Below are 12030 nucleotides of genomic sequence, written 5' to 3'. Positions count from 1 at the left end.
GCCCTACCCTCTCCTCCCCTTCGCCATCTTCTCCTTCCTGGGCACCTGCATCATCAACACATAGTATTAATCTTAACCTCTTTTATGCTATCACAGTCCAATGTACGTGTCTCTAGAAAAATACCGAGCATGTTGCTTTGCACACAGTAATCCCTGAATAGTGTTTTCCTTCTTTATCTCTTAAAATCCTTACCACAATTTCAAGAATTTTCACTGCAAATCAAATTTGAACTGAGTTTTTAGGGAAGTCCAAGTTTATATGCAAAGACATAAAGATGTAATAGAATCCTTTCAAAGAACTCTCTTGCTAATGCTCAATCACAGCGAACAATGTATTGCCTGACATTTTCAGATTCCCAGACCAGACATAGAATGTGATAGAGGGAGGAAAAGGGGTGAGCCATTTTATAGAGGTTTTTTTGGTTCTATCCTTCTTCTAGACTCTATTCATGGGGCAAAAGGAAGAAATTCACTTAGATTTCATGGATGTGCACAGGTATAGGTACGCTGAGTTTTTTTTCAAGCCAAGCATATATATATCCCCTGTAAAGATCTAAGGAACTCTTAAAGGACTCCAGGGTGATACAGGAAAGAATGTATGTGTGTGTGTGTGCATGAGTGTAGAGAGAACCAGAGTTGGTGTATGTTGGAGATGGAGGAGGAGGTGGTAGATCAAGTTAATATAAGGAAGTTTAATAGGCATTTGACTGCTTAGCCAAATATACGAGTAGTTCCTAGAAAACTACATCATTATACGGGAAGGGGGTTGTTTGTAAGTGGAATACTTCAGGCTAGGAGAAGGTTTCAGCACCTGCTTTAATCAACGTTACAACTATTTTTATGAAGATTTACATTTACAGAAGTTTGAGTCGTGTTCTTGAGTTCTTTGCTTATAGTTTGGAATTTTTCCATGTTTTTGGATGCAAATAAACGCAGCTGTTTGCTCTGCAAGAGCTATGGAAAACATATATTTATGCTGCATTTGTAATACAGAGAATGTTCAATTGAGACTGAATTTGGCATCTTGCCTTACGTTTCAACTTTTCTTTTTAATAACGTAAGATCTTTCATTCATGCAAATGATGCTATTGACTCATCAGCATGGTATAGTGAAAGAACAGGGGTCTGGCCATAAACACAACTGAGTTTCAGTTCTGCTTCGTCAGTAATGACCTTCCTGGATGTGGGAAATTATATTTTCGAAAGATGGCTGCAAGAACCTCACATCTCATGTACTCCTTTACAATATGACCTTGATATTCTCTCATCAAGAGAAGTCTGTGTTCTCTTCCCTCAAATCCAGACAAGCTTGGGACTTCCTTGTAACCTATGGGATGTAGCAGAAGTGACCATGCCTGACTTCGGAGGCTGGGGGTCTTAAGGGCAATGCCACTTCTGCTTAGTCCACTGCAACATTCACACTAGGAGCCGTGCTGCCTGTAAGGAGTGTGACTGTCCTGAGGCTGCCATGCTGCGAGGAAGCTAAGTGGCATGGAGTGGCCCCGTGTAGGTGCTCCAGTTAACAGTCCTCGTCTTCAAGTTCTCCCAGCCCAGGTGCCAGACATGCGATTGAAGAAACCTTCAGACGATCCACAGTCCCAAGCAGGGAATCACTCCCAACCTTCAAGCGTTTCCAGCTGAGACCCTAAACAGGGCAGAGACAAGCTTTCCCTGTTACGCCATTTCTGAATTCCTGACCGACATAATCTGTGAGAATAATAAAATGGTTATTCTGTGTTACCAAGTTTGGAAGCAATAGGAACAGAATCAGCAGCAATAGAAACAGAAACATTGAAACAGAAATTTGGAAGCTGGAAGTGGGAGGCATTTGTAACAGAAAACAGAAACATGTAGTATTAGCACTGGGACACTCCGCAGTGGGTTCTGGAAGCCCCTGAGGGAAGGTAGGACAAGCTGGAAGGGCCTCAAGGGGAATGTTGATGAGACTTTAAAGGAAACTGAGGAATATGTTATCTGGAAACCCAGGAAAGGGAGGTCCTTGTTATGCAGTGGAAGAAAGTTTAGCAAAACTGTTTCCTGTGATAATGCATAAAATGGAAAGCATATTTATTAAACTTGATTTCAGGCAAAGCATTGAGGGTGCTGACTAACTTCTTTCTGTTCCCTATAACAAAATGGGAGGAATGAGACAAACTCAAGAATGAATTCCTTTTTTTCTTTTTTTTCGAGATGGAGTTTCATTCCTGTTGCCCAGGCTGGAGTGCAAAGGCACCATCTTGGGTCACTGTAATCTCCACCTCCCGGGTTCAAGCGATTCTCCTGCCACAGCCTCCCGAGTAGCTGGGATTACAGGCGCACACCATAATGCCTGGCTAATTTTTTGTATTTTTTTTAGTAGAGACAGGGTTTCACCATGGCCAGGCTGGTCTTGAACTCCTGACCTTAGGTGATCTGCCCGTCTCAGCCTCCCAGAGTGCTGGGATTACAGGTGTGAGCCACCATGCCCGGCCAAGAATGAATTCTTAAGCCTTCAAGCCTAATTGGAAGGATAGATAAGGTCTCAGAATAGTCATCTTAGCCAGGAAAGTGTCCCAAATTAATAAATAGGCTCTGGGAAAATATGAATTCAGAATGGGACTGTAAGATCCCTTGTTTAAGCCTCAGAAATATCTTACATGCTACTTCAGAGAAGCTTCCAGGAACATAAAAGTCCTTCTTTAAGAATCTATAGTGTTTGTCTTGTAGACCTTCTTTGTTAAACAATAAGACTTCAAAGAATCTTGAGGGCACTGTCCCACAACAGTGACACAAAGACCCAAGATAGAGAAGGACCTGACTCAAAGAGATTTGTAAGTGTGATTTTTGTCTATAAAGTTGATTATGCATTGATACAAAGTAAAACAAAATAAAACGAAACAAAACACCGCAAAGTTTTTTTAAAAGGAAGCATGTTAGCTTTGATGGACAGGAACAGAGACAGTACGAGATGAAAAGAATTCTTTTGACCCTACCCCACCCCCAGTCTTTTAAAGGCAAGAACCAGGCTAAAAAGGCTATTCAATTGCATACTGAAGTATTTCTTATGGAAAATGAAGGATAACTCAGAGGGCTGAACCAAGAGCCATGAAGAAAAACTCCCAAAGAGTATGACTGAGTCCTAAGCTGTCCCCACATTTCAGAATTGCTATGGACAAGTGACCACCAATGCCTTTCATTTTCCCTGCTTTTGAACAGGAATGTCTACAGCAGTTATCCAATGCCTGTTCTACTGTGGCATGCTGCTGGCATAAGGGACAGAGAACTAATCTCTTTAGTTCATAGATCTACAGAACAAGAGGAAGATTGACCCAAAAAACTGTACCTAAGGAGCCTCAACTACACTTGGACAAGATGTAGTTGAGATTCTGGACTTATAACTGATGTAGTAACAGGACAAAACTTTGGGTGTCTTCGAAGAAAGGTTATTCATTTTGTATATGAGATGGGTATTGTAGCCAGTGGATGTGGCCACTGTGGTAGATTGCATTTTCCAAAGGTGACTGCAACAATTTCTTCCATCCCACAAGCTTCTTTAAAATGAAACCTTGATACTCATCCATACTCAAGAGGTGGCATCTGGACAAGTTTTTGACTCACTCATAACCAAAAAATAATGTGGTGGAAATGATGTTGAATGACTTCCAAGAATAGATGATGAAAGGCAGTATAGTTTCCACTTTGTTAATTAGAATAGTCATTCTTGCAACTCCATGGCGCCATGAGAAAAATCCACTACCCTGAAGCAGCTGTGCTATGAGGAAGAAACACCACATGGAGAGACCACATGTAAGGCATTTTAGCTGACAGTCCTAGTCTTTGGGTCCTCCCAAAGTAGGTGTCAGGCATGCAAAAGAATGAGCCTTCAGATAAGTCCAGCCTCCAGCCACTGAGTCACACTCTGAATCTTCTCAGCTGAGGCCTCATGCTTCATGGAGCAGAGCCAGCTGACCCTACTGTGGCCTTTCTGCATTCTTGAGCATGGAATCCATGAACATAACGTGACGTTTCACACCACTAAACTTGGGATGGTTTGTTATGCAGCAATAGTATCTAAAGTCATGGACCTCATTTGGTTTTCACATGTGTAAGATGAAGAGTTTGGATTAAGTGACTTCCAAGATCCTTTTTTTTTTTTTTCAGCTATAAAGACTTGAATATCTGATCTCATCACTTTATGGCTTAAGATCTTTTGGGTCAGAGTGGTGCTACTCTTTCTTGGCAAATGGCTACCCAGCTAGAGAATACATTTCCCTGCTTCCTTTGCAGTGGTGTGTAGCCATATGTCTGTTCTCACTAATGGAATATGAGTGGAAGTGACATATGCTACTTTCGTGTCACTTGCTTAGAAGGATATTGCCTGGACCTCTTCCCTTCCCACATGCTAAAACACACTTGAGCTGCAACCCAGCTTCAAACCTGCATCTGAGGGCAGTATCCGAGGTGAAGAGAGAATCACAGTTTGTAAGGAATCTAGGGCTCAGAGTGGCCTTGGGTAGCAGGGCTGCCCTGGCAACCTGTCTTGTGAAGGAGAAATCAAATTCTTTCTTAGTCAAGCCACTGTATATTTGGGTGTCTTTGTTACTGAAGCTTAGCTTTAATCCTAATACACACTTCAAAGGTTCCCAGCACTTGTGTGATAAATTCTAACTTCCTTAACACATGACTAAGGCTCTGCTCCTCCCTCCAGTCTGATCTCTTGTCACTCTCTTCCCTCCTCTCTATTTTCTGGTCACACTAATCTTCATTCAAGTTCTTTTGTTTTCACCTGTTCTCTCTGCCCCTGTGCTACTCCTTCTCAGCCTATCTTGGCTACCTAACTTTTATACATCCTTCAGGCCTTGCTTTCAATGACCCTTCACTTAGATTCCCTATTAGATCTCTCAAAGAAAACCTTTTTTTTCTTTCACAGCATTTATCATCTTGGTGATTAAATAATTTTTGCATAATCATTTGATATCTGCTTCCCCACTATACTATAGACATCATGTGGATAAAGTTTATGTCCTTCTTGTCTTTCCGACTAGTCCTAGTACTTAAACAGTGCCTGGCATAGCAGGAACTCAACATAGTAGGAACTCAGAAAGTATTTGTTGAATGTTATTTAATGAACTTGTAAGATAGCTGACCAAGGTTTGCAGTTTAGGCTTGTGGCCACAGAAGTAAGCAAAATATTAACCTGTCCCTGTGAGTATCAGCCTGTGACCTTGTCCCCATAGTTATTATGCTCACAAATCAGCTGAGCTCACCCCACCAGACTGTGACCCTCCTGAGCTTGTTCCCTATAGACCATCTTGAGTGTCATCAGGGGCGCTTCTGATAATAGACTCTCTCTCTTTAAAAAATTGGTTTATGGATGAAAAAGTCCCAAGTATATAGGATGCTGAGTTTAGCAGAATCTGTATGTAAATTGGTATTTTGCTGGTGATCAATCTTGTGCTAAAAATGGAAAATCAATAAAAAAAAAAGAAAATCTAAGGGGAAAAATAAATTGTAGACATTTTTGGTCCAATGATTTTCCAAGTTCGAGGACACGGCATCTGAGACCAAGGTTACTGTGTGTTTCAAAGGGGTACGCAAGAAAACCAGACAACCATCTCACACACTTGGAATATAGCAGAAGCCCCCAGCGAGAGAAAAGTTCCAAAGGCAATACCTTCCTATAGCACTCACTGGGGAAAGCCTTTGTAGTATCTCCTTGAACTAAGAAGGGATTCATCATTTGAGAATAGTAGTTCCAGGATCTCGCCAGCTGCAGAGTTCACTAAACTGCTGAAGGGACAGGAGCTGACTCACATACCAGCCACTGATTGTATGAACATCAGTGAGCTTCAGGACGTTGGAGAAGCATGAAAAAGAATAAAAATGAGTCCAAAATGCCCCATCTTGCAGCCTTCAACTAGGTATCAAAATGATCTGGCACAATAGAAAGATGTGGATTGCATGGAGGAAGGGCAAATATTACTGAGTGAGTGCCAATTCAAACTGCTTTGACTGAAGTTGGTGGGGTGAGGGGAAGTCTTGGAATGGTGATGCATTCACTGGGACCTAGTGGACCTACACAAAGTGAACATTCTCTAGATGACTTATGTAAATGCCTAATTAACTTTGTTATAACGGGGTGGGGGATGTCTCATCGAAAAGAAAGTTGCTGTAAGGGCTGGATTGTGCCCTCCTCCCAAATTCATATGCTGAAATAGGGTCATTGCAGATGTAATTAGTTAAGATGAAATACTGGAGTTGGGTGGGTCTCTTATGCAATATGACAGGTGTCCTTATAAAAAGGGGAAATTTAGACACAGAGACAGATATGCATAAAGGAAAGATGATGTGAAGAGACACAGACCGAAAGCATCTGGAACAGATCCTTCTCTCAAAGCCCTTGGAAGGGACCAACCCTGCCGATGCCTTGAATGCAGATTTCTAGTCTCCAGAACTTTGAGACAATAAAGTTCTGCTATTTAAACACCCCCATCTGTGGTCCTTTGTCAGCCCTAGGAAACTGACACTGTAACGCAGCACAAGAGCGGGGAATAGGGGGTGCGGATTTTGGAGGCAGTGTAGCCCTGGACCCACCCCTTACTAGCTATGTGAATTTCATCAAATCTTTAAAAAAACTCTTTAAACTCCTCAGCTTTCTTTTCCTTCACATACGTGGGTAATTAGGATTCCAGATATTCAACAGCCCATGAAATGCAGGCCAGAGGCTGCCATTCCCACATGTGGGCGCTGGCGGGTGATGGCAGGTACATTAGTTCTGAAAGACCCTGTCCAGTCTTTCTTGGATGGCTAGGTGGGCACCAAACATTTACATGCTGAGGTACCAGCACCACCTGCACCAGGGCTTTGCCTACCTCTTTAAGGTCTTGTCAACTTGATCCAGGAATGCAAGCCATTGTAGGAGAGCCATAGAGAGCTCTCAGTCATGAGGGAGGCTCCTGGGCCATGCCCACTGGGTCTCTCCTGGATGGGGGTGTTGAATGGGGGAGAGAAGTACATATAGGGTTCATTCAAGGGACACAGAATAGTGATAATTTACCAATCTGTATGGAAGTATTTTGATATTTCAGTGACCAATAGGGCCTTCCAGGTTTTTACCTTCTGAGTATCAGGCCTGGGATCATCACAGATAATTATACAGTGTTGTAAAGATTAGATGCAGGGACATGTCACCTGCTTAGAAAAGTGCCTGGTGTATGGCAAGTCCTCATTAAATGCTATTTATAGTATTGATGAGAAGACTAGTACCTAAATTGAGCTCAACAAACATTTATTAAGCACCTACTATGTGCCAGGCACTGTAGGCGCAATCCCTGCTCTCAAGGAGTTTATTTTTAGCAAAGTTGAAACACTCTTTTCTACTCCCCTGCTTTTCCTGATGAAGGGAAACTGAGGCACTTTCAGGGTCTCAGTACCTGTTGCTGCCAGTCCCACCTTCTTTTCCATGCTAGATGTTCTCATACATTCCTCAGTGACAATTTCTTTAGGAACTCTCCTATGCCATGGTTTGGCTTAAGTGACCCCTGAACTGGTAGGTTCTAAAAAAAAATACAGGTATTGAGGCCTAAATTTAATTGATTTAGTTTCCATTAAGATAAACAATGTCAGGCTTGGTTAATACTTGTGTAATATATATTTTTTCCAAACAGGACATAGAAGAATAATTCGTGGTAAAAATCAGAATTGCTGCTATGGCAGCTTGTCTCCAAAGATGGAGGTCATCAAATCCTTCCCTTCCTATACAGACATGGCTCCATTCTATGACCATCTAGAGGTGGAGTCTATTCATCCACCCCTCTGCATCTGGGCTGACCTGGTTTTCAATGCTTTGACCAATAGGATATGGTGGAAGTGACTCTATGCCAGTTCCAGGGCTAGACTTTAAGAGGACTGGTAACTTCTGTTTCCTCTCCCTTGGAACATTAGCTCTTGGGAAGCTCCTACTGGGAACCAAGCTGTCATGTTGTGAGAAGCTCCCTTGGTAAGCTGCCATGTTGTAGGGAGCCCAGCATGAAAAGACATGAGGCGGGGCTTCACTTGACAGCCTCAGCTAAGCTCCCAGCCAATGGCCAGCCATGTGAGTGGGCTGTCTTGGATGTCCAGTGTAGTTGAGCCTTCAGATAACCACAGCTGTGGCCATCATTTACATTCACCCAGGAAACTCCACATGAAAACCACCCAGCAGAGCCCAGTCACAAAACCAGAAGAGATGGTAATAAACCAATGTTTAAGCCACAGGTTTTGGGTAGCTTGTTGTATAGCAATAGACAACCAGAATTCTGCTCTTCATGAACTTCAAATACCTTCAACTCCTAAGCACTGTGAGGGAGCCAGGACATGGGAATCGAAAGTTCCAGGCTGTAGCCACAGCCTTTTTCTTAATATACTTTGTGACCTTGGGCACATTGCTTTATCTCTCTGGGCCTCTATATCTTCTCTTGTATAGCAAGGGGTCCAGATCTCTGATTCTTAATATTTCTATGTGCTAAGTTACTGCAATCTTTCTTGGATAATAATAACAGCACCTTCACTAACATTTTATACAAAGTCCTCACCCAAATGTAAAATTAATTTCATAGAGTCACAGGCCTTCAAGATCATCTGGCCCAATCCGCCCATGGTGGAGGTGACAACACTAATTCACAGAAAGGTTAAGGTGTTATGCTTGCTGTTCCAACCCACTGCTCCCTTTTTAAATGTTTTGTCCAATTACTACTTCCTTCACCTTGGAGAGGGTCATTGCTCCTTGTTTTCCTATATTGAGATTTGGTGAGTATAATCACCCATTCATGCTTTCCACATCTTGGTAGTCTTCAATCCTGCCCCTCCCAGAGCTTTCCAAATAGACCTGGTTTTCCTTTCAGTTCCCACCCCCTGCCCGCCAAGGTTGTTATTGTTGTTTAACAGTAAAATATACATAACATGAAATTTACCATTTTAACCATTTTTATGTGTACCCAATGGACCTAGTTTTACGGTTCATTTCCAGTTGCTGAAAAGGCTTTTTGTGTCTCACATCACAGCTAGAGTCCAATTCTGTGGTGTCTCTCTGTGTTTCTGCAGTATTAAGCTTCTTGGGAACATGGCTATCTACTCCAAAAGCCTTGAGGACAGAGGTCTGTGTCCTGGTTGTCATCCTCACAGCCTAGTTCAGCATATAAGAGAAGCTCAAGAAAGGCTTATTGAGTTAATGGCCCAGTATGTTAAAGGAGACCCTGCTAAGCCTCTCTTACGGCACCTTAAGATTGTTTTTCCTGTATCGTGGAAACAAATGGGGCTAGTAAGTGGCAACCATTGTGTCATATGTGGATATAGAAGGGGCATCCATGTACCTCTTTCCCAAAGGTAAGCTGCTTGGTGCAATAGCAGGGGACATGATATGTTGGCAAACACCCTTGTTGACAGTGTCTATCTAGAAATCATGTTTACTTGCCATTTGAGTTTCTGTTAGAGAACAAAGAGAAATTTGACTGAATGAGGACAAAGCAATGTAATGAATGTCACCAAGGGCTGGCAATTTCTGCCCTACTGATATAATAAAAGCGATCAGATCACTCCCACTTTGAAACAGTTGCCCCAATACACTGACACACCATGGCTGTGAGCTGCAGATCAACTCCTCTTTTCTACCCTCAGACCAAGGGAGCCCCAGCAACTCAGGAACCCAGAAAGTTTTGGACAAAGAAAGGAATTGCAGCTTTGGCCAAAGGCAGGAACCAGTGCTGGAAAAATCTGTCTCTAACAGGAATGGAGGAACAGTAAAACTCTTTAGTCTGGCTTTGCACCTTAGAGTCGTGAATCTCCTGTTTCGATGCAATTGTAAGATGCAGAGCAAGGCCTGGCCCAGGGAGGCAATTCTCCTACTGTGAATGGTTTGATGTGCTGTCTTGGTCACAGCCAGGCTAGAGAGGTTGCTACCAACTGGGAGAGGGGCACGTCATTAGATAAATGCCATGACCTGGTATGGGGGTGGAGATGGATAAAAATCAACATCCGATGTTCTGAAGGACAGCCTAATGGACAATAAATATTTTACCAGCACTGGCCATTTATATGAAATGCCACCTTTTCACCTTCTCGATCAAATTGTTTTCTTTGTTTTTTTTCCCCATCCCCAAGCCCCATTATTCTTCTACAGTACAGAAGAAAAATCATTTCTGTCATTTCACTAGCAATTTCTGTGTACACAGTAGGTCCTTGATCATGTTTATTCTCTTCTTTTTTCTCCTTTTCCACCCATATCCACTGGCTAAAGATTGTCCCCCACCCTAAGACAAAAATTAGATAGGAGGGCAATGTAGGTGATCCTATTTTAGACATTCATCAGATTTTTTTTTTCATAAGGCTTCCAGAACGACAGGGTCAGTCCCTCTTCTGGCCTGCAGGAGAGGCCAGTGACCCCCAAGTCAGACGTTTCTATTTTCAGCTCCCCAAGTCCAGGGTGCAGTAACCTCCACCTCGCCAAGGGCCATGCTGCTAACCCGTCAGCAGCACGGGCCCTGCTGCCTCTCTGCGTTTCCATTTCCATAAATTTACATCAAATTTGTGCTGAATCATATCCCCCCCACGCAGAAGAAATGAAATACATTATCAATAAGTACAACAAATTTGAATAATCTGAGAGCAGATGACTTTTCCTGTCTCTTTTCCATTTAACTCCTTCCGTGGGCTGCATCTCGATCCACTTTCCCCACCAGCCTGTGGTTGGGTTTCTCCCCACCCCACCGACGCCCACGGTTTTCCGCTCTCCTCCCATGGTTCTTTATCTTTAGGCCTCTCCTCCGGCACCCCAGGCCCTGTCTCTCCCTCTGTCTCTCAGCTCCTTTCTGGTCATCCTCCTTTCTCCTGACATCTTAGTCCCCCTTCTGGGAACCCCTCCAACAGCCAAGGAGTGGCCTTTCCACCTCTGCTCCTCCCCACCTCTTGTCTCCCACAACGCCCAAGCCAATCACGCTCAAGCCTGTGCCCCCTTAGGATGACAACTGCGGGTCCCCGGCCTGCCAGGCCGTCATCAGCCCCACTCAGCCACTGTGAGCGCGGCAGTTCAGCAGGGAGTGCAACTTCCTTCCACCCCCTGCTGCCTGGCTGATTGGCAGCCAGCGGGGCTGGAGGGGAGCAGCTCGTGCTGACTGTTTGCCGCTGGGCAGGGAGGGCTTGGCAGGGGTGGCCGTGAGAGGACCTGGGAGCTCAGGGGTCTAAGAGACACAGAGGATTCCCTGAGTCAGGAACCCGGCCAGAATCCCCCATCTGCCCCTCTGGTATCTGGCTGCTGGCCCTCTGTAGGGAAATGATGGATGAGGTCCTTCCCAGAGAACCTCTAGGTAGGGGGAGGAGAGAGAAGCTTATCTTCTACAGAATTGAGGCCAGTGGTTCAGGGGACCTCAGGTCTCAGGCCTCTGCAGGAGGCCTGGCTGTGGCACTCACCAGGACCTGCAGTCTCCTGATCCTGGTTAAAACCAAGAGCAAATGAAGTAGTTTAGCAGCCAGGCTATAGGGGCTCCTGGCAGGACCTGTCAAAATGGCCCTCCTGGCTCATATAGAGCTAATTAATAAATATATGTACACACACACACACACACACACACACACACACACACACCATTATAAACCACAGTCATTATGAATCATTTTCTGCCCAGATTGAGTTTCTTAATTGAGGCAGGAGAAAAGTCACTGGGGAAAAAAAATGGCCATGAATATTGCCCCAACTATATAGTTCAGAGAGAAGCCCGGCCAAAATCTCTACTGGAGATTTGCTTAGTTTCCTTTAATGAGAACTCCAACAGCCCGAATTTTGCTTGGGCAGCCAGAATTTGAACTGAAATACTGTCTGGAGAAGTCACATCAAAAGCTTTAGGGCTTTCCCGCGTGTCTGGGGCTGCCGAGACCTGGCCAGAGTCTTCATGCAAGTAAGTATAGAACCCATAATGAGAGCTTAGGTTGCTAACAATAAGTTCAAATCATCCTTTCTTTCCCAATCTCTCCAGAGATTTTTTGTTTGTTTGTTTTCATCAGTCTGTGCTGGCTCAAGTT

General features: G+C 43.8%; 1 protein-coding gene across 2 annotated transcripts in view, besides 2 other annotated features; it reads left to right on the top strand.

Annotated features, from left to right (window-relative positions):
- CCDC149 (coiled-coil domain containing 149) overlaps positions 1-12030 on the top strand; it is a 176691-nt gene that overhangs the window by 51821 nt on the left and 112840 nt on the right. The window lies entirely within an intron of this gene.
- Positions 10407-10975: an enhancer, noted in NCBI's record as "H3K4me1 hESC enhancer chr4:24919031-24919599 (GRCh37/hg19 assembly coordinates)". NCBI's record gives its function as "activates a minimal SCP1, AML or CMV promoter by ChIP-STARR-seq in naive H9 embryonic stem cells {active_cell/tissue: H9 hESC(naive)}" and the evidence as "EXISTENCE:reporter gene assay evidence [ECO:0000049][PMID:30033119]".
- Positions 10976-11545: an enhancer, noted in NCBI's record as "H3K4me1 hESC enhancer chr4:24918461-24919030 (GRCh37/hg19 assembly coordinates)". NCBI's record gives its function as "activates a minimal SCP1, AML or CMV promoter by ChIP-STARR-seq in naive H9 embryonic stem cells {active_cell/tissue: H9 hESC(naive)}" and the evidence as "EXISTENCE:reporter gene assay evidence [ECO:0000049][PMID:30033119]".

Source organism: Homo sapiens, chromosome 4 (assembly GCF_000001405.40).
Source record: "Homo sapiens chromosome 4, GRCh38.p14 Primary Assembly".
In the NCBI taxonomy this organism is placed as follows: Eukaryota; Metazoa; Chordata; class Mammalia; order Primates; family Hominidae; genus Homo; species Homo sapiens.
The sequence above is the reverse complement of the archived record's forward strand: the minus strand, read 5'-3'. Positions and strand labels throughout refer to the sequence as shown.